The sequence below is a fragment of the Homo sapiens genome, chromosome 20, assembly GCF_000001405.40.
Source record: "Homo sapiens chromosome 20, GRCh38.p14 Primary Assembly".
Taxonomy (NCBI): Eukaryota; Metazoa; Chordata; class Mammalia; order Primates; family Hominidae; genus Homo; species Homo sapiens.
Window position 1 is genome coordinate 40,694,983 of NC_000020.11, and position 23,081 is coordinate 40,718,063.

Here is a 23,081-nt window from a genome sequence, read left to right on the forward strand (position 1 = left end):
TCCCCAGGGCTGAGGCCCTCACCTCCCATAGTCTAACTATCGCCTCTCTATCCTTCCACCAGAGAGATCCACCAGATCTCTCTGGTTCTTCATCTGGTACCTTAACCTTCATCCGGTACCTTAACCTTCATCCAAGCCACCCTTATCTTTTCCTTAGAGGATTGCAGAGGCTTTGGCTGTAGACTTTCTGCTTCTCCACAGGGCAGTAGAGATAGTTTTTATATGAATCTGATAATTCCCCCTCTCCCACCCCCTGGCTTAAATACAAATCACTTTAACACTTGGAAAAAGAACCAAATTCCTTGGCATAGCCTTCAGGCCATGGATGGTCTACCCTTGTTACCCTCTCCCACCTCATCTTGCTGCATCCCCCATCACAATGCTCCAGGCACACTGATTTATTTAAGTTCTTCCACAGCCCAAGCTGTGTTCTGCCACAGGACCTTTGCATATGCCATTCCCCTGCTTACAATGAGTCAATCTCTTGTTTCTGAGGAACTTAGAAGACATGTTTTATGGATCTTCCCAGGCCTTGGAGGGACTTGGGTGTACCTAGGCATGGGAGTGGGGTGAAAAGCCTATTAGCAAGGACAAGGTCCTGGTCATTCTAGGGAAATCCTACACACTGGAGTCATAGGGCAAAGCTTGTACCTCCATCCCATCTTTCTTCAACCTGGATCAGGGTAGACCTCAGGTTTGGGAGAAGCCTTAGGAAATAACACAGGGACATTCAAGGAAATGATATAGTCAGCTAGTCCAAATGTTTTACACTTGAGAAAATGGGTTACAAACACAAATTCGTGAGCCACAGTCTGATTTTATAGGTCTGAGTAGAGCCCAAGAATTTGCATTTTAATAAGTTCTCTGGGTAATTCTGATGCCTGGAGTTCAAGAAACACACTCTGAGAAACTAGATGGAATTTGATCATGAGCTCCAGAGGAAGTCTCCAGGAGGTGGAGTTGTCTCTGTGTCCTCAGTAGTCAGTGCAATGCCCATACCAGGAGGAACTCAATTACAAGTGTGGAATAAATGAATGAATAAATGAAATTAATAACTAGGCAAAGGCTGATCTTCCTTACAGTGTGAGGTCTGTGAATTGTCAGGCCTTTTCTGCACACCCTCCAGCCCCCTCCTCTCCCTGAGTTAGCAGTCATTCCTGAACCAATCCTTCCTTCTTCCTCCTGATGCCAAGGACTAACTCAAGAAATCTGCATGATTTGAGTTATCCCACCCCATGGGCCTCCCTGCTTTCGCTTTCTTCCTCCTTTGTCTGGATGCTCTTCAAGGGCCCAGAATTCCAGCTTCTCACTACATGCTCATCACCACATGGAGAGCAAACTTCTCAGGTACAGGGGAAGTAGATGGCACCCTCCCACTGCCCTGGGACCTGCTGCGTGGGAGTGGTGGAGGAAATAATGCTGATTGGCTGTGTCAAAGCCCAGTCTCCATTCAGCCAGGAGCTGCTGTGGTCATTCAATCTCTTTTTAAAACAAATTACAGAAGATCACATTCTCATTGTGAAAAAATGCAGCAATGTAATTTTAACATCTATGTCTAGAGCTACAGCTTGCTTTTGATTTTTACTCAGCAAATGCTTGGTCAATACATGGAAATCTACTTCTTTTTAACTAATGCATAGCATTCTATCCAATGGATGCCCTATAGTTTTTTATCCAGGCCATATTGACCGACATTTAAGCAATTTCAAATCTTTTACTATTGCAAACAATGCTGCAACTCAGCTTTTTACATGCGCCTTTCTGCACATGGGCAAACATTCCTCTAGAAAGCAAGAAATAAAATTGCTGGGTTGAAAGATGTGTGCATTTTCAGTGTTAATAATGTCAAATTAGCCTCTAACAAGATGGTGCCTATTTCATTTACTATCAGAAATGGAAAATCTGTTTCCCCATAGCCACACCAACAATGAATTTCATCAAGGTTTTCCATTTTTGTTTCAGTTTTACAACCAGTGCTGGGAGATGAGGGTTCAGGGATGAATATGGCTTCCTTCCTCTCCTCCAAGACAGTGCAAACCTTGCCATTGTGACATGAAAGGTGTTGTGATGGCAATATGTCCACAGTGCTTCTGGATCCCAAGTAAAAGATCCCTGGTTCTATTGGAAGAAATGGGGAGGGTGGCAGAAAATGCTGCAGAGAAAAGGTGACACTTGGTTAAGGCTTTGGAGGCTGAGCAGAAACTTGCCAAACACAGAAATGCAGGAATTGCTGGTGGTAGGACTAGTCCAAGCAAAGGCATGGAGCAAAGGTACTGCCTCGTGCCCTTGGGGAGCTATTTCAGGGAGGCTGGAAACAGAGATGAAAGCTTCTGCAGGAGCCAACACTCGAAGGACCTTGAATGCCATGTCAAAGGGTCAGAGTTCTGTCCTGAGGGCTAGAAGGTCATCTCCACATGGGAAGGCATCTTTTTTATTGGACTGTCAGGCACATAGTGGGTGCTCGGTAAACATGTATGGAAATAAAAAGGAGAATTTCAAAGGTATTTAAGCAACATGCTTAATTATCTAATTATCTTTCATCCCTCATGGAGAGAGACAAGGTGCATTCCATGCCAGGGACTGAGATCCAGGCTTCATTCTGGACACTGGAGAGGTGGCACAGACACACTCAGCTCAGGAATTCTTTCCTGGGTTGCAGCCCCCCTCCTGGCCCTGTGCCAGGTCCCTTTCACCTCTGCCCGTTAGAGATTGCTTTTGGTTGCTGTGTTGACAACCCCTGTTTCTGTGTTCGGAGCGGCTGTTCAGTGCCATTTCCTGATTTAATATCAGCGCCAGCATACAGCAAGGATGCACAGTTAGCAGTTTTTGCTCCAAGTATTTTTCAAGTTCCCTTTTGATGTAAGGGTTGGGTTTGCAGCTTCCCTGATCACACAGAGCAGGGAGGGAGAGACTGGGGGAAGGAACTGGGAGCCAGAGGTGGGAGAAGACGACCCTGAGAAGATTCATCTAGTCCAGCTGAGCTGAGAGACTCCAAGCTCCTTCTGCAAGGGGATGGCAGAGGGATCAGCTAAGACACGGCAGGCTGAAGGGTTTCCTGGAAGGTGTGGCCTCTGAAGCAAGGCTGCTGTTACCCTTCTGTGTGGGCATAAAGATGTACACGTGTCTGTGAATATATGTCTCTGTCACAAAAACAAAGGGTTAAAAAGGTTAAATGATCTAACATTATGCAATTCAAAGCACGAGGAAATGAAAACAAAATTGGTCCAAAGCAAAACTTAAGGTTGGTACAGGTCCCAGTAGTGCTCAGTTTTTCAGGGTTTGGGGTTGTTTGTTTGTTTGTTTGTTTGTTTTTGACTGAGCATCTACTATGCCCAAGGACTTCCTCAGGGCTGAGTGCTCATCCTCTTCTGATGGAAACAGATCTTTTTCACTACATTATGGCCAATGCAACAAGAGAGCATGCTCGGGGACTGTGCACACTCAGGAACACACACCCACATTTGAGGGCAGGACACAAAAAGAGACTGGGCACTTCTTCACCAGAGTCCTTGAAGGCCTGCACCCCCCCACCTATAGACACCTCTGTGACCTGCTGCTGGGGCTCCATTCTACCTCTTCTACCACCCACCTGTTGGACTCTTCTCCAAGACCTTCTATGTCATTTGGGGTCTTCTGAGAAGCAGAAGCCAAAACAGGATTCTATGTGTAAGAGATTGATTGGGGGACACACCTGTGAAGTATAAAGGAAAAAAGGGCAAGAGGAGGCAGGGAGAGCCTTCAGACCGTGATGTTGGTCTTGCCCCTGTGAAAGGAGAGGGGGAAGGAAGGAGGATGTGGAAGGAAGAGTCTTAGACTGCAGCACTGCTCTAGGAAAGTTGCAACCAGGATCATGCCACCCAGTCATGGCAGACTTCCCCAGGTAATGAAATTAGCCAAGCAAACATCTTCTTGTGTGTTTTCTACATGTGAGGGACTGGATTATATTTAGATTGCATCATCTCACTTAGTCCTTCACAATAACCTTAACAGACAGGTACTATCTTCATTATTACCCCATTTTGTAGGCTGAGGCTTAAATAAATTAAGTCCCTTGCCAGAGGGCACAAGTTACAAGTGACAGAGGAAAGATTCAAAGGCTGTTTGACTCTAACTATTGCTCTGGACTGCTGTGGCCAGGAGGAGGCTTGGAAAGGGTAAGTGGGAGGCTCATTTCTCTCTTTGCACCCATCTCTCCTGCTTATGGGCCCTGGGATGTGTTTCAGCACAACCCCCAACAAGGCTTTTCTGGTCTCATCAGGGCTGATGCCAGCTCATTCCAGGCTGGTCTGCCAGTCAGCCCCAAGCAGATGGCCCAGAATGCTCACCTGAAATAGGCACTTTCCAGCAGCCACACATGTGCTTTTCTCTTGGGCATTACCTCCTCCAGGAAGCCTTCCTGCTGGCTGGCGCATGTTTTCATAGCACCTTATATAGACACTTTGCCCAGAGCATCTGTTATATCTGTGTCCACCACCAAACTCAGCCTCTCTAGGACCAAAACCAGGTCTGAGTCATGTCAGCACCCAGCACTGGAGGGCATAGCACTGGAGAGACAGCAATACATGCACCTGGTGCTTGGACAAAGGAACGTGTCCCAGGGGCATCAAGAAGACACCCTTAGAGAGCATGGGTTGTTGTCAGGAAAGCCATTGCTTTAGCCTTCAGATGTGTAGCCTGCACTCCCTGGCTTGGTTGCCAGGGGACTCACTAACCCCCAGGCAGTGTTAACAATTGAGCTTCTCGCTTCTCTGCAGCAGATAACACCTCCCACCCTTGCCTCAACTTCTCTTGGGGGCCAGGCCCAGGCTTATACCCTTGCTTCCCAAAGCCTCAGCATCTGCTTGGCTGCCAGTGGCACAGTGGGTAGCCCCAGCCAAGGAGGAGAGTTATTTTTATTTATTTCTTCTTAATCATGAACTTAATTTAGCTGCTAATCAGGTTACCATGGTGACTTGCACTGGATTTATAGCAGTTTCCTAAAGTGCCTTTTTCACACTCTTTTGGTAAATGAATAAAATTTGGGTGATGCACAAAGCGCATAAATATTGGGTGTCCTAGAAAAAGGTCAGATGCATCCGTTTTGTATTTGCCTTTTGCCCTGACTAATCAGGCACAAGAGAGCCATGACTATGAAAAGATTCCAGGTTCCTCTCCTCTGCCCTCCCTTTAAAACCTTCAATGGATCCCTACTGCCACCAGGTAAAGTCTGAGATTTTTTCAGTGCTTTCAAGGCCTGCCCCTCTATCCTCCCTTCACTAACACTCTACCTTCCAGTTCTCCTGTGCTGTTTCTTGCAAGCTTTTGCCTCTCTGCTTTTGTTTGTGCTGTGCCCTGATCTGGAAAGCCCTTCCCGGACAGCAGGAAAGCCCTCAGTCTTCTGAGCTCTCCAGAAGGGTTAATTCCTCTCTCCTCTGTTCTGGGAATGATGGTAGCCTGGCTTGTCTGAGAAAGGTTTTCCCCCTTGTCTTGAGACCACTCCCATCCCTATGTGCTATTTTAGAAAACCTTTGAGCACTCTTACTGTCTCCACTATTGCTTGGACAGGGGTGGGGGGCTATAGTGCTGGCCAGCCCAGGAGAGTGGGGCAGGGAAGCAGCAAGGAGATGAAATGAGCAGTTGGCATTTTGACAGCTTTCCGTATTTCACTCTGTGGGAACCTCACCTCGTATTCTACCCCAGTGTTTGGGAAGAGAGGGATCATCCCGTGGGCTCAGAAGAACTTCTGCCTTAGGCCTTCTGCAAGCTCCCCCCACACCCCTTGTGGCTCCCAGAAGGGAGAGTGTCTCCAAGCTGGAGACCATAGTTTCCAGGTTTCCCTTGAGGACCTTGGGGCCGGCTGCCAATCAGTCTTGGGATCAGCCACAATCCATTAGCGAATGCTCAGGGCTCAAGGCGCCAACAGAGCCACCAGGCGTCGGCGCCAGATCCTACTCAGGGAACCCAAAGCCACCTTCAATTATTGTCTTGGACTTTGTAATCAGACAAGCTGGGCCCACAGACCATAGGCTGTTTTCCTAGGCTCAGAAACCCCTCCAGCCCCAGTTCTGGCACCCTGAGCTCACCAGGTACTCTCCAGGCCAGGATGTACATGCAACCCAACGAGAGACCACTCTCTGAACCTCCTGGGTCACAAAAGGAACCACCTGACTCCTTTGCAGCAGCCCACGCTGTAGGTAAAGCTATGTGAGTACATTAAATTACCTACCCCTCTCTTAGCCTCACTTTCCCATCTGGAAGGTACAGCTGTAGTTATGGCAGATGCACTGGCATCAGTGATCATGGACTTACTTTACTTCTGGCCTTCTAAACTTGGAGTCAGAAGAACTGAGTTCGAATTCTTGCTCTGCACCTTTATTTGATTTTGCTTCAAGATTGAAGCCAGGGGAGAGGAAAGGGCTGTTTCCAGAATGCCTTTGGAAGCATGAGATCAGTAGGCCCAGACATCTACAATAGTGACCAAGAAGGGAACGTCTTGTGATATGCCAGGCAAGCCCTGAATGGCTGCACAATCTCAGCAGGCAGGTTTGTCCCTTTGTACCACCAGAGGAGTTCTGGCCAAAATGACTCAGAGGATCTGGGAATGGGGAGTAGACATACAACTCCCTCTAACCAAGCATGGAAGGACCCAGGTATCCAGACCCAATCACCCAAGGCTTGAGAGAGTCTGGGGTTCTAACCCTAGCTCAGTGGCAAACTTACTGTGTGATCTTGGGCAAGTCACTTAACTTCACTGGGCTTCAGAGAGTTTTTCTGGAGACATGAATCCTTCCCAAATGAGGGTGAGACCTTATGTTCCCCAAACCCTTCTCCAGCATGTGAGCTTATGAAGCTGGCTCTGGCCCATCCAACAGCAGTTGGGGGTGGGGGACAATATGACTTTGTAAGAAAACTCAGAATAAAGCACAGTAACCCCTCCAGCCACTGGGGACTGCCTTACTCCACCCCTGCACATATCTTAAGGTGAGAATTAACAGGTACTCATTCCTGGGAAGGACTTGACAAGCATCTTGCATGGAGAAAAACCGGGAGCTCCTCATTGACTTGGTAGATGTTACACAGCACTGTGTTTAAGAGCACAGGCTCTGGAGCCTGACTCCCTGGGTTCAAATCCCAGCTCTGTCATTTACTACCTATATGGCCTTGTGCAAGTTGCCTAACCCTTCTGTCTGCTCTTCTTCACGTGTACAATGGGACTAATAGTAGCATTTACCTCATTGGATTGTTGGGAGGATTAAGTGAGTAGATACACATTAAGCACTTAGTGTTGAGGGTTGATGATTATGTATCAAACATTTCTCCCATGTATTAGTTCTCAAAGCTACTATTATTAGCCCCATCTTACACTCAAGAAAACTGAAATGCAAAGAAATTAACCCTCTTACCTGGTCCCTATGCTCTCTGCTAGTGCATTTGCCATCAGACCTTGCTGCTCCCACTTCTGCTCAATATGATCAATGTTCTCCACTGACTTGTTTTGCAAAACAATTTCATATAGCAATGGAAATAGAGAAGGGAGTTGGGAGTTAATTAGGGCAGGGTGAGCCACAGATCAATTTTAACACTGTTAAAGGAGAGACAACTTGACATTAGCAGGTGATACAACAAGAACCATCACAACACCATCTACAAAGGCTTCTAGCCAAAAATCGAATACGACTCTGATCAGGCCTCTGGATCAAACTACTGATTTCCAGGAAACACAGGGGATGGAGGAACACGTTAAACAACACCACAAGGAGGCGCTCAGCTGAATCTGGAATGTGAAACAATCTACAGGAGAATGACCAAAATTCATCAAGAAACAAATGGCATTTAGAAAAGAGAAATAAATCACATTTTTAAATGTGAGAAAAAGGGAGGACTGTTATAAAGAATATTAAGAGACATATCAGTCTAATGCAATGTTTACAGCCTGACTCTAAATGTAAAAAGGAGGTTTTGAGACAATTGGGAATATTTGAATCTCTACCAAATATTAAATGAATTGGTTTTTTCATTGGGTTAGATGTGATAATGATATTGTGGTTATGTTAAAAGAAATTGTAAGTCCTTATCTACTAACAATACCTCCTAAAATGTTTATACATGAAATGAGATGATGTCTGTGATTTATTTTAAATACTCCAGCAAGGGGGTGGGGGTCAAGGGTGCATGCAGGTTTATAGTGATTTTCTCTTCTTCTGTATGTTTGGAAAATGTCATAATAAAAAGTTTAAACTAAAAAGGAGGGCAGAGGATGAAGGCAGATCACTAAGTATGAAGAGTTGTAGGTACGGGTTTCAGAAACATTTAGGTAGGTAGTGAGTGAGGTTTGGCCCCACAGAGATGGGACTGGGAAGGCACTCAGCCCCTCATGCATTCTCAGGTCATCTGAGGGAAAATAAGCCTTTGCACACCACTCTGGAATTCATTTGTTTATTCACTCACTCACTCTCCAATTCATTGATCCATCATCCATCCATCGGTTCATTGTGCAGTCAACACACCTGTTTGTTGAGAGCCTACCAGAAACTGAGATGTACCAGAAACTGAGAATACAAAGGTGATCATCCTGTCCTTCTGGCACTTACGGTGAAGGCAGGAGAGTCAAACGCTTGTTAAATCTGCCATTACGCAGATACAGCTTCACAAACCCTGAAAAGTCTGAGGTAGGAAGTGGATTGCATGCCATCAAGAAGTTTAACATGGGCAAACAAGACTTGTTCTAGAGTCAGAGAAGGTCGGGGAAGCTTTCTCTATAACATTTAAGCTGAGATTTGAATGATGAAAAGGAGACAGCCATGTAAAGAGCCCAGGGAAGGGCGTTCAGGCAAAAAGAAAGGCGAGAGAAAATGTCCTGGGGCAGAAAGGAGCCAGGGATTTTCAGGAGTGTTCAGTATACAATAGGTACAGCAGAGTAGGAAGCGAGACTCACAGGCTGGGGGACATCTGGGGCTGTTAACTGCTGCTCTTGAACCAAGAGAAATGTCTCTCCCATACACAGAACATGTCATATAGACAAGAGGCCTCAGGCCAGATGACAAATGCTCCACCAGTTATCAAGACAGGTATGGGGGAAGTGCGTGTGCATGTCAGAGCACTAGAGAAAATGTTCTACTTCCTGAAAGAATTTTAATTTGGGACTAGGGTGGAGGGGAAGGGAAGAAGGCGGCCCTGGGGCAGAGAAGAGGCTACTACAAAGGGAACCATCAGAATCGCTGAGTAAGTAATACTCCCAATTAGAGATTTAAAAACCAATGGTGAAAAGCAGGCTTGTGCTCAGCTCAGCCCTCCCTCCCTCAGCCAGCCTCAGTCAGGGAAAGGAAGTCGTAGCCAACTGTGGGGACAGGTGCCTAGTGATTTATGGCCCTAAGACAAAGGCTCCCAAGGAAAGGCCCTGCGAAACTCAGACGTGTTGTTGGAACAATTAGAGCCCATCCATCTATTTGAGTCAGCACAGCATCTGGAAAATGGGCCTGGTCCGGGCTGAACACCAGCTCTTCACGTGGGACTTTCCACATGGTGAACACACACAAGAGGCCAGTAGCTGGTGGGGGAAAAGCCCCATTTTTCCGATAAGGAAAATGAAGCTCTCAGAAAGAAAACTTGTTCAAGGTCATCAGCTAGGAGATTCAAACTCAGATCTGTTGGAGTCGCAAGGCCACACTCTTTTTGGCATTTCTTACTATCTCCCTGGAAGTTTCTGCAACTGCCCTGGGTGGCTAGTCCCTTGGGGGCTACTGGGCTCTTTCTTCAGTTTTCCAAGATGGGGCTGCTGTTGCCCCTGCAGAAAGATTTAGCCCTCAGATCTCAATTCACTCTAAAAAGCTAAGCTGGTGTATCCAAAGCCAATAGCAGGTCCCTCTCCTGCAGAACAAAATGCGTAATTCCTCCTCTGGAACTGTGATTCTACAGGGACCTGGAAGGGGTCAGTGGTATCAGGCCCCTGCCTCCAAACTATGTGCAGTGTCCTGGGCCCTTCTAAGAAATGCATGTCAGAAGCACCCCTCAGGGCACATGCATAGCCCCGTGAGCTGATTCCAGCAGCTGCACTTCAGGAGTGCTGTGTCTGACTCAGCTCTGTGATCCCAGCACAGCGTCTGATCCAGAGAAGCACACAGCAAATGTTTGCTGAATAAAGGAACAGACCTTTAGCATTGGAGATATCGCAGCAAACCCAACTTTAGAAGAAAAAACAAAAGGATGGCTTATTAAAATAAGCTTATGGTACAATGTTCATTGTAAAAAGTGGATGATACAATCATATAGCAAAAAAAGTCCCACAAAAATCCAGTATACATTTAATAGTGTAAAGTAACATGCATATATTTGTGCACTGTGAAAATTCTAGATTAAAATGTAAGCCAAATATTAACAGTCCTATCACTGTGCAGTTGGCTTATGTGTAGTTTTATTTGCTTCTTGAATTTTTTTTCCAAAATGTGTTATAAGAGCATATGCTATTTTCATAATAAAAAGGAAAAGCTGTAACTATTTTTTTCCATAACATAATTTTTACATGATAAAGTTTAGGGTGCTGTCTGCCTCTCTGAATTCAGAGGCAGCTGCTGGGTGCCAGGCAAGGCAAAGATGTTGTGTGAGCTCAAAGTCAGCTTCCTCAGTCCACAGACCCCAGGGCCACAGGACCCACACTGGCCTCAGGAGCCACCCATTCCCTGTATGGGTCCTTGGGGTAAGGAACAACATGGATGCCAGACCTCACAGCCATCTTCCAAAATCTTACCACAGCCAGGTACATTTCCACGACTCCTTTCTCCGTAAGCAAGTCAGTAAATCAAAGTGCATCTCGTACACAAGGTGGGCCCTTTCTGGTAAAACACAAAAAAACTTAATCTTTGGTCCAGAAGCAGTAGATTGCGGCAGCAAGTCAGCAGCCAAAACCATTAATCTTTGCTGCATTCCCCAACTGGCCCGAGTAGTAAAGAAGATAATACCCCAGCAGAATCAGTGACCCACTACAAATTGGTCCTGAAAGGTCCACCAGCATAAATAGACTTTTGCTGATCCAACACTTGTTAGGAACCCCAACAAAGAGACTATTGGCTCATCTGATGAGCCGCTTGCAAGGGGCCCTTGCAATGGCTGGTGATGGATGACCACCCTCCCTTGGAGGGGAAGATGCAGCTCCTGGTATGGGGCCCTTTCTCATCTTAAATTTGTCCTCAATAAATCACAGGTGCAGAGAAGCCAGCATCAGTTTCATTACACCTACATGCTCCAGTATCAATCACGCCACCATGGCGGCCTGTCTGGGTGCAGTTCATTTCAAGTGGCTGTTTCTGTCCTGATTCCATTTCCACTGCAATGCACGCCTCCAAGGGGCTGGGGCCTGGAGAACGGGAGGAAGAAGCTTTTCTGTAAAGGCCTATGCTTCCCTGGCCTCAGTACCTATTCCCTTCTCCTTGTCTATTAACTATTCCCCAAATGTGTGTCACTTGGAGCTCCAGATCCAGCGCCTGTGCAAAGGGCTGAAGCCCCAGGATCAGAAAGACTTGTTTTTAGATAATAGGTCTGACATTTGCCAACTTGGAGCAAGTCATTTTACTTTGCAGAGGCTCAGCTTCTTCATATGGAAAATGGGGCTAAAGACACCTGCATCTGGAGATGAAACACAGAAGTAATTGTAAAGAACCTGGCACAGGCTGGGTACAAAGTGGGATCTTCAGTTCATGTCAGTCCCAGTCTCTGCTCATCCCTGGCTGAGATGCTGGTTGAAGAGAAAGTATTGCAGGGATGGCTGATCTTGCTTTCCCTCTGGTACTCAGGCCAGTGAGAAAGTGGAAATTCTGTTGTTCCTCTTCTCTGTGTCTACCTGCCTGGACCATTCCTGGTGCCAGCAAAAGTATGTCAATTATGGCTCAGAATTTATGAGGATGCTGCCACAGCTCGTTTTTTGTCTTGTTCCTTTCATTGTAGGCAGTTAAAATACACTTAAAACTAAGGACACCAGAGAGCTCTCAGACCTCTTCTTAATGCACATAATCAAATACTTTAATGTCATTAAATGCATAAAGGCTCATCATAAAAGCTGTGAACTTCTTTTTTAAAGAATCATAAATGGGAATAAATGGTTTCTTTTTAGGCAGGTCCTAAGCCAGTTCACCTACAACCACTAGAGGCAGGACGGAAGCACCCCTCCAAGCCTGCCAATAGGCCTCCTCCAGAGGGCACAGCCCAGCTGCCTCTGCTGTGGGGTGGAGCTCTCAAGGCCTAGTGGCAGCCCTGTAAATTGTTAACTAAATAAGTAGATCTTTGAGCAGAAGAGAGGGGAGTGCAAAGGACCCTGCTCCTGAGCTGGTAAGGAATGTCAGACGAAACAAGCTTTTCAAAAAGACACTTCCATTCACTCTAAACCTACAAGAAAGCCAGAGTGACAGGGCCATTTATTTGCAGAAGAGCTGGGGAGGGGGTGGAAAGGGAAGCAGAGATAAGGAGAAGGAGCAGAGAAATAAGTAAAGGAGGGAAAGGCAGGGAGAGAGAGAGAAGGTTCGCAAAGCATGCAGAGAGAGGGAGACAGAGAAGGAGAGGGGGCAGGCTCTACCCCAGGGTCCAGTGTCTCATCCATCACCAGCCATTGCAAGGACCCCAGTGGTTCAGGGTCCAATGTCTTGGTACTGCATGTTGGCTCAGAATTCTGAGACAGAGCCTACAGAGCTGCATATATATCCAATACATCTCAGAGAACAGAATATAATAGCAATATAATAAAGATGATGATGATGATGATGATATTGAACATTTACTCTGTGTCCAGTCTAATGTCTAAGTTCTTTACCAGCATGACCTCATTTAATTCTCCTAACAACGCTATATGGTAGCTACTGTATTTCATCAATTCTAAGACATACATTTTCTTTTTCCCATTTTAACACCTCTGAAATTGAGATGCTTTTTAAAATCACTATCAGCCTGCCAGCAGTCTTGATGTCACTGTCATATCTGGGAACACACATCAAAACTTGCGGAACAAGTATTTGCAGCTTAAAATCCTGAGGACAATAGAGGAGTGATTTTTAAAGAAATGCTATCACAAATGCCTGCAATGTGACAGCAGATGATAGTCTGTTGAAAAACATGGACATTGACAATGCTGAGTTCGTCTCTGAATATGAGGAAGTTTTAGGAATAACTTAAACAATTATTTCACTTATATTTTCCTTTTCATGTATGTATACAAAGGTCTTGTGACAAACACCTATGTTTAAATAAACCTGAAAGTTCTTTTCATAAGTATAAAAATAAAATTCTAAGTGATAAGAAAGTATTATGTCATGGTTTCACTGGCAGTGATTTGACTGTTTTTTAGTGTTTCATAAAATAATGGTGCAACATACAAGCTCTCTAAGTCCCATCTTATAGATGAGCAAACTGAGGCACTTTTATTACTTGCTCAAAGCCACACAGATAGTCCAAACTCCAGGTCTTTCTGATTCTAGAACCTGTGTTCTCAGCCATTATTGATCTTCATCTCTGACATCTCTGAATTCAGATCAACATAGGTTCTGATTCCAGCTTTGCCACTTTCTGGCTTTGTGACCCATGATACTGATGTCTAGTAGTCTCTGAGCCATAAAGCAGAAATGCTAACGAAACCTGCTTCTCAAAGTTATGTGTGGGAAAATCCGTATATGAGAAGGTTCAGCACAGTTCCTGGCCCCAAGAAAGTGCCCAGGATGTGGCAGGCTGAAGAAGGGTCTACCTATAAGTCTGCGCACATCCGAATCCAAAGAACACCCACGCAGCAGCGGACAAAAGACTGGGTGGCACCAAGAGCTCAGATCTAGGACTGGAACTGTGTCAGTAAAAGATGCTTTTAGCACTCTCAGGACAAGCCAGTCTGTATACACTTCCTGGTGCCTGCAAGATGCTCAACTCTTCCTTCCTACTAACAAAACAACAGCTGCAGTGACCGCAATTAGTGTATTACTTTATTATTACCATTTATATCTTTTGAATGCCTACACTTTGGGACTGTTCTAAGGCCTTTACCCACATTGTAATCTCACAATAACCCCAGGAGTAGGCACATTACAGATGAGGGGAAGGCTCAGAGAGTTGAAGAACACATAGGGCTGTCTTTGGGCATCCTGGGCTGATTCAGAGAACAAATACGTCCAGTGTCTTAGGTTAATTTGATACTTTGAGGTCCCGTGGTTCCTTCCCATTAGGTCTGAGATTCAAGTTAAGACGTCGACTTCTAAAAGTCATAAAGGATTTCTTCTCCGCTGCCCCACACCAATGATAAATAAAACATGTTTACCGTGGAAAATTCGGAAAATATTTATAACAAAAAGACGTGGTCACACATAATCCCATTGCACAGAGAACACCTCCTGGTTTACATTTTTTTGCTCCTTTTCTCCCATTCTTATTTCTAACCATATTTTACACAGTTTATGTTATTCATGGAATTTTATATCTTGCTTTTAACTCCTGGCATAAGCATTTCCCACGTTATTAGAAACTCTTAAACATCATTTTTATTGTTACCAATATTGTTGAATGGGTGGACCATAAGGTCCTTAACCACTCCCTTCATGTGGGAGCATTTAATGTCCGCAGGCACAAACTTGTGTGCCTAAATCTTTGCTTACATTTCTATTCCTTTGGGATAAATTATTTACAATAGCATTACTGTGTCAAATGACTTGTACATTTTTAAGACTCTTGATAGATATTGTCAAATTGTAATTCATATTTAAGAATATCTGTTTCAACCTTTTTTTTTTTTTTTTTGAGACAGAGTCTCATTTCATCAGCCAAGCTGCAATGCAGTGGTACGATCTCAGCTCACTGCAACCTCTGCTTCCCAGGTTGAAGTGATTCTCATGCCTCAGCCACCCTAGTAGCTGGGATTACATGCTCATGCCACCACACCTGGCTAACTTTTGTATTTTCAGTAGAGATGGGGTTTCACCATGTTGGCCAGGCTGGTCTTGAACTCCTGGCCTCAAGTGATCTGCCTGCCTCAGCCTCCTAAAGCGCTGAGGTTACAGACATGAGCCACCACACCCAGCTGAATATTAACATTTTTTATTGTTATTCTGATAATGAAATTTTTCTGATTGTTTTCAATTAACATATTTTAGTTTACTAGTAAGCATGAACTTTAAAAAAAAAAAAAAAACCTTATTTTACAATTGTATCTGTGGATTTGTGAGGTTACAGCAAAGCAGTTAGGAGCCCCTGCCTGCTAGATTAAGCTGAGTGATTTTGAATCCTGGCCCCTCACTTACAATATGCGTGATCTTGGGGTGATTATTTAACTTCTCAAAGCTTTATTTTGTTTTCTCATCTTTTAATAGGGATGAGAATAATAACACCTAACTCATAGGGTCTTTGTAAAGAATGAATGAGAAATCCCTTGTAAATTATACCTGGCATATAGTAAGTGTTCACTAAATATTAGCTACTTGAATTTCTTTTGCAAATTCTTTTTCATACCCTTTTCTCATTTATCTGTTGAGATCTTAATATCTTTCTTATCCATTTGAAAGTTATTTTTATAGGAAGAACATTAGCCCTTTGCTACATATGTTGTGAATATTTTCTAATTGGCTTTTAAAGCAACATTCTTTCTCTCTTGATGGTCTCCATGAGAGTATTTTAGGGCCATCCACATCCAGTGAAGCTGAAGGGAAGGGTTAGGTCTATTCAGTAAAGATATAGAAAAATGAAGTAGTTTTCATTTCCAATGATGCGCCCCAGAAAACATTGCTTCCATTCACAATGCTGCATTTCTAATAGATGAGGTAAGAATTGATGGGGTTTGTCGTACTCACAAAATGACGCCCAAGCGGGGATGCACGGAGAACGTTGCCACGGCTCCGACATGTTGATGCCAAACACTGCACGAAGCACTTCGTGTCAGGGAAAGAAGCATTAGAGCTTTCTCGAGCCCACTCTTTCTCAGTTTGGAAGCTGTCCTCATGTTCACAAGGATATTTTGGTAGAAAACCTCCTTTTCCAGGATCTCCATTTGCCCGTCGCCACTTCTGTGTACTCAGTACTTTTCTGTCAACGAGAGTTCCAAGGAGTGAGAAAGCCTGTTTTTGTTTTCATTTTTTATGTCTATTAAAAATAAACATGCTGAGAAGCTGCCTCTTAGTCTCTTTATCAAGCCCCAAATGACGTGTAGCCCTTGTCAACTCCGCGTTGACGAATGCAATCAGCATTTACAAAATCAGATTTGTAAGGCATCGGGAATAAACTTAACTAAGGGCAGGTTTCCCCTCCATTGATCAAAACGGGTTTTTGCCGAATGATGGGCAGTCGGTCGGTCCCTCAAAGTAAGTAAGCGTACAGGCAGGCAGGATGCTGTCCCCAGCCCACCCACCTGGGCCCAGCTCACAGGACACCTGGCAGGTTCTTCTGCTAAGAAAGCCGAGAAGCCCACCTCTTTATGGGTCGGCACAAATGGGGTACATTTCATGCTGAGTCAATTTAATCAATACTTTTCTTGCTTTGGAAACCCCGAGCATTTAGAGAGAGCAAAGCCACACTACGCAGTAAAGCAGCTTTAAATTCTAATGAGCTTCTCTGTGCTAATTAATGACTTTGCTAACTGGAAGCTTTCTTTGTTAGAAAACACACTCTTGCCTTTCAAGATGACAGCTTTTCCTTTCCCGAATGTCTTTTATTATCAAACCAGAAAGGGAAGTACTTTATTCCTCTCATTCTGTTAGAACTAATAGATTTTTATTACTTAAAAAATAATTTTCTTTTAGTAACCAGCTTTGCATTTTGCCCTATAAAAGCTAGAAAGTGCAAGAGATCAATTTCTCCTAAATCCTACCTGTCACCCGCCCGGCAGGAAACGGAGTTCTAGAGGGTAAACACAGCCTCTTCTGGAATAGACACAACAGTATGCCCCCTCCCGCCCCCTCCCATTGCACAGTGAGATTTGGTAATTTGCAAATTGAGCAGCCATCATTATTTTTTAAGGAGCAAACAGGGTCTCCACTCCTCACTAGGAGAATGTGGCCCAATCATTTGTCTCGGCAACGCACGAATTCTAGAGCACTTGAGAATTCTTAGCCATAAAGCTGATTACTAAGAGAGGGATGGTTATAAAGAAAAAAATCTTTTTAATCTGGGGAGGAGGGGAAGGGAAGATGAAGGGCAAGGAGGAAAAGATACATAGAGCTCATTGCTGGAGTTATCAGCCCGAATCAGAGCTTGAACTCTAATTTTTTGTGAATCAGAATTCACACGTGAATGTATGAGTGGAATTTCTCTCTCTTTCTCTTTTCTGCCTTGTTGTTGTTGCTGTCTGACAAGAGAGTCCGTCTGGGTCTCTCTGTCACTATCGCCATCTCTGTTCCTCTGTCCTTTCTGAGTACTTGATGAAGATACCCTGCCTGGAAATAATTGCATTCAGACCCCTGAGTCCCACTTAAAAGTCTTTGGGACTGATCGAGATAAATCCCATCAGGCTTTTGTTTCCACTCAAAGTGCCTCCATCATTTACTAGACGAATTAAAGTATCAATTTCTGTTTAAACATTAACAGGGTGATGCCAAATATTAGTTAGTTCCTAATAATTCTGAGGGATTAAAAAGATAATAAAAGTAATAGTCCATTACATTACCTACTTCAGCAAGATTGTAATGAACGTAATAAATTCTGGATCAGGGTTATAACAACTTCCATCTATTTAAAATGAATTTGTAGGGTTACTTTCATTAACTATGTATATGGGGAAAATGATCTGACATATTACCTTAAAAGAGCTGTAAAACCGATTAGGAGAAAATATGCTTTCCAGACAGGGATGCTGGCCACTGGGGACAACTGCATCCTTGGGAAGTCGGAACGAGCTGCCGAGATAGCCCGATTCCGTCCTTCCAGCACTACCTGCTTGCTACTCTGAAAAAAATCATGACAGCATCAGCGCTGGTGAACGAGGGTGAGGGAACCTTCTTTTTCCCCTTCTCCTTTTATTTATTTATTTTTTTCCTTCCCAGGTATATTCCTGCTAATGAACCAGGGCTCACTCTGGGAACTTCTGCAAGGAAATAAACCCTAGGCCTGCAGCCCAGCCTGGCCTTTGGACCCCCAGGGGAAAGCTGCCATATTAAAGGGGCCCATGCCCTCATTGCTAGAGGAGACAAGGGAGCGAGCACTTGACTGCACCACAGAAATTACTGCTGTACCTCGAATGCCCGCTTCATTTATCAATTTCATAGCAGAAAAACCCATATGACTGCCTTGTTCAGTCGCACGCTAAATCTAGTCACAGAAAACTCCCCACCGCCAGTCAAGTGTGTTACGCACAGGCCTGGATAAAGTAACTTGAAATACCACTAATGATTTATACTTAATTGAACTTCTAAGTGATTAAAGTGGCAGTAATGAATGAATAACACCCTCCTCATTCCCTTGACCACCTGGCCCAGCCCCTCCAGGCAGAGTGGGCCTCGCCTGGGGAAGTCAGCGGGGATGGCCGCCTGAAGCCATTCTCTGGGCTCCCCAACGCTGCTCATCCTGGCTCAATTGCTCTCACTTGCAGTAAATGACTCCATAAGCACCGAATCAGACCATTGATCCTTTTTATTAGATTACCCAATTGTAAGGTTAATGCATTTGCATTTGGCAAACGGAGTCGGTCAACTCAAATCCCTAGCAGGGATCAGCGTTTAAAAGGACACATGTGGGAGCAACTCTGTCAACACACAGATTTGCTGGCAGCAGTAGCCAGATGCTGACGCCCTTCCTTCCCGTGGCCCCCCCACCAAAGAAGGTGCCATAAGAATCCACTTCCAGGCCTGTGTCTTCCTTAGCAGCAGTCCTCATGGGACAGCCAGGGGGCCACACCTGCTGCCCATGTCCTCCCCACCCCCAGTGCTTCTGTTTCTGAAAGAAGGAAGAATCCTGCAAAAGTTTTCAGTCACCACAGACAGGGATAAAGGTGGATAGTTCACCTCGGGCCAGGAACCTTGCTGCCTTCTCTAAATGGAGGAGAGCCAGGACTTAAATCAGTGACAAGGACACAGGCTTCAGAAACCAAAAGTTCTTCTTTTCTGATGGTCATAGAGTCAGACAGGGGGCAGCCATTTATACCTAGGCCTCTATACCCGATGTGAATTTATTCTTGGATTTTCTAAATGCATTAACCAAATGCTATTTACGTGGTCTGCCTTCATTAGGATTTTCTAGTAAAGAAATTCATAAGTTGGAAAAACATACTTTGTTGATCTCATATGAGTTCTGCGTTGGAGAATATAGCCATGGTTTAGGGGAAATTAGAAGTTACCCAGAGAAATCACCCCAGAAAACCATGTCCTTTTATAGAAGAGGAAACTGGGGTGCAGACAGAATGAAACTTACCCAAGGACCACCCCCACCACAGTGAGTTCACAGAAAAACTCCCGTCTTCTGCCTTCCAGATCACCCTGATGGGCCATCCTCGGGTAAGAAAGCAGTACTCTCAGAAGAGGTGGTTTTGAGGCTGTGACAGTAAAGAAATAGTCTTTTTATACAAATGTCTTAAGACACAAGCCATATTTCATATTCAGCTGCATAAACTAGGTCTTTGTCTAAATTGTTTTGTGGAGTAAGATTCGCTCTAAGTATTGCTTACAGGATGGATTTGTTCAGCATCTTGCCTCTGAGGACAAGGAAGCTGGTTTCATCATTTCCATTCTGTTCACTTTTTCTGCTGTTCACTTTCTAAAGGTGGCCAGGACGCTGGGGAACAACCCATCATGTGAAGTCAGATACTGAGGGTTCAAGCCCCAGCCATGTCACTTACAGGCCATGTTATTGTTCTGAGCCTCAGCTTCCTTCATTGTAATAATTCCTCCTTGCTGAATTGTTTTGAGATTAAATGGGATAATATACGTGAAAATGATCAGTGCAGATGAAGCTCTTATCTAGATAGGGCTCCTTATCCATGAGTTTTCTCCCTCCTGGTTTCATAGAAAAAGAGTGATCCCTTGGGCTTTACAGGCAGTAACTGACTGGTGACAGGTTTCCTAGAAACAGCCCATGTCAGTAAAGGGAGCTGTTTCCCGTCCCAGCTCTTTCTTGCTTTGCAAGAGAGGCCCAGGCCCTTGCCAGCCTTTCATTTGCCTCCTCTGCTGAAGGCTGGAGGCTGTACCTTCTTTGAATCACTGCTCAGAACTTGTCTGAGTCTCACAGGGCCTAAGAGGCCATGAAGATAGGGGTAGGGCAATTCCTGTAACAACAATTCAATTACACTTCAGTTGCCATAATCGTCATTCACTTACATTTTTTGAGTACTCGTCATATAAGTATTTTTTACATGTGTTTAACCTCATCTAAGCCTCTCAGCAATCCTGTAAGATTCAAATGGCCATGCCCACTTTACAGAAGCAGAAATCAAGGCTTGCATAGGTCAAGTGGCAGTCCAAAGTGACACAGCTGAGAGGGGACAGAGCTGGGGTTTAAGCTCAAGCCGGTCAGACTCTAGGATCCGTGCTCCATCACTGTGCCCCGCTCTTAGGACTCACAGCACCTTTGTGGCAGGGCACAAGCCAGATGTCAGCAGGGACCCTGACCTATCCTTCCTCTTTTAGCCAGTTGACCCATTGAGCCCCAGGGACAGGTATTTGTTCTCAGGGAAAGCAGAGCATCAGAGGAGAAGGGGAAAAAAATCCCCAAGTGAGCAACAGCTGACCTCTGTGAGTTATTGAGAAAGTGCCGAGGTGGCAAGGCTGGTGGTGACAGGGCCCCAGGGGCCTAAAAGAAGGATGCTTATCTGATTGGGAGTGCATGCGGGCAGATTCTACCTAGAGATAGTTGCGGCTGGGCTGTCTGGGAAGAGAGGGCAAAGAGAGGCCCCAGCTGGAATAGGCTACCAGTCCAGAAAGAAGTTCCCAGCATTAGAGCTTGCCACCCAAGAAGCTTCAGACCTGAGCAAGCCAAATCCCAAATCCCCATAGGCCATGCCATCAGCCGTGGCCTCTGTTCTAAGGAGGACACACAGAATACCGGGTGTAGGAACAGATGTCTGTCTATGCATAGACATGGACAGACTTTGTCTCTAAGTGGGTCTGTGCTTGTCTGCAGGGGTGTGTGTGAGTGTGTGTGTGTGCATGTGCACGTATGTGCCCACACAGCATCTGAGAGTGATGTGTGGGACAGTGTCTCTCTGCAGTTGTGTCTCTCTGTGAGGATGAGGGTGGGTGGGCATGTGTATGAGTGACCATGGCTGGTCCCAGGACTAGCATCTATGGACCCATGGAGGTCTTTGTGCCTATGACTCAGCTGAGGTGAAGGATGATGGGGGAACAGTTGGTCCCATCAGTGGGAATGTCATGATTCACAGAAGTAGGTTCCGGGGGACCGGGAAGGAAGGATCTGCTCTGTCTTGAAGAGTCAGGAAGGGCTGCCTGGACGAAGGGGCATTTGCTACATGGAACCTTCCTCCTGAGTCTCTCATGGGCTGGACCTGAACCATAATGTGTGGAAACCCCTGTTACCACCCAGTCATATTTATTCTGTCGTCCCCAGAGCAGTTTGAGACAGGCCAAGCAGCATGATGGGCTGAGGAGTTAACCAGCCTCTTCCCCCGAAATACAAACACAAACCCCCCACCAAGCCCTGTGTTCATAGGAGGAGATGGGAGTAACCAGGACAGCCCCTGGCCACCTCTGACTCCTGGACTTGGGGCTCTTGAATACTGCCTGGTGGGTGTTTCCCTGCTGGACTGACCTGATTTTTTATGCACAATGCAGAACAGAACCCTGTCCAGAGTTGGGTACTGCCCCTGTGACCAGGGCTGGTGTGGGCAACCGAGCTTGACTCTGTACCTCTGGCCTGGAGGCTGCAGTGCCTGAAACCCACTTCTATCACCACCTCTTACTGCTGTATGATTTGGGACAAGCCCTTTGAGCAACGTGAGCCTCAGTTTCCTCATCTGTCAGGTAGAAATGATTATTTCCCCCATACCTCAGTCATTGATCCTTGGTGGCTGTGCCTCAACCACATCACTAAGCCCTCTGAGGTTCAGCTTGCTCATCTGTAAAACAGGGACAATAACAGCAAATGAGATCACGTGGAGAAAAGCACTTCAAAATTTAAAAATTATCTGGTGCTTGAGAGAAATCACCTGTGAGATGGAAAGACTCGGCCAGATTTTCAATTCTTGGCTCCATCTGCAACCCTGGCTGGCATTTCTTAGAGGATGCAGGCCTCTGGGTGTTGCTTCAGTGGCCAAGGAGGCTCAGACAGAGAGCTCCAGGACCCCAAGGACAGGAAGGCCCATGGACGGAGTCTGCCGGTCAGAAGGCACCGGCCCGTGGCTCCCTGGAGCTGCACAGCAATGATTCAGGAAAAGGCTGACAAGGATATCAGCAGCGTGGGTTTTTTTAATCCTGAGTCCAGAGAAAATGCACAATCAGGAATAAAGGCGCCCAAGAGAGCAAGGAGAAGGAGAAATAATCAGAATTAGCCAGCTGGCGGGCAGCACAAACAGGGGATATGCAACCCCAACAGGGTTGGAGCCTGTGCAGGACCAGCTGAGGAGGTGGCCACGGATTGGGCAGGCCCAGACAGGCGCATGAGGGAACTTGGGCTGGCTGGAGCCCAGCAAGCAGGCAGAAGGGAAGACAATAAAAGAAGCCGTCATCAGGTGAGTCCAGCACCCTCGGAGGCTGCCGTGGGCCCCCCTGGCCACAAGGCAGTGGAAAGGGTGCTGCCAGAGGGCTTCAGTGCTCTGCCCCGCATTGTTCACGAAGCTCTGGATGTGGACGTCGGGTTTCAGAGCGGCCAAGAGATTGCCCAGATCCTGTAGAAAGGCTGCAGAAGCCTCTGCAGGCAGCAGGCCTTCACACCCCCCTCCCTCGAGGCTGAAACCAGACTAGGATGACAGAGTCCATGGCCCTAAAATTTCACTGGGGCTCTCTCCCTGGCAGTTGGACAGGGTGTATCAAGGCATTTAGGGAGGTGATCCCAGGGCCTGCTTTAAGAACAGAAAGGAATGGATTTTGATGAGCTGGGGCAGAGAAATCCATTTCCATGGGCAATGGAACTGATGTTGTTCCTAACTGAAACCTGCTTTTCACAAATCATTTAGACTATCAGATGGCTTAAGAAAAAGCCCTGGTCCTGAGAGT

At 45.6% G+C, this 23,081-nt stretch overlaps 1 long non-coding RNA gene and 1 other non-coding gene across 2 annotated transcripts, besides 1 other annotated feature; both read right to left on the bottom strand.

Moving 5' to 3' along the window:
- Positions 1-1,866: 1,866 nt before the first annotated feature.
- On the bottom strand, positions 1,867-22,448 carry LOC101927098 (uncharacterized). The gene is made up of 5 exons (NR_187686.1): positions 22,076-22,448; positions 21,916-21,985; positions 19,330-19,450; positions 15,783-16,014; positions 1,867-3,140 (listed from the first exon to the last, which is right to left on the bottom strand). It is a non-coding gene; the product is annotated as an uncharacterized LOC101927098 (long non-coding RNA).
- Positions 10,560-11,437: an enhancer, noted in NCBI's record as "VISTA enhancer hs1086". NCBI's record gives its function as "enhancer in: hindbrain (rhombencephalon)[5/8]" and the evidence as "EXISTENCE:transgenic organism evidence [ECO:0001131][PMID:17130149]".
- Positions 19,590-19,641, bottom strand: SNORD154 (small nucleolar RNA, C/D box 154). The gene has a single exon (NR_145814.1). It is a non-coding gene; the product is annotated as a small nucleolar RNA, C/D box 154 (small nucleolar RNA).
- Positions 22,449-23,081: the final 633 nt, after the last annotated feature.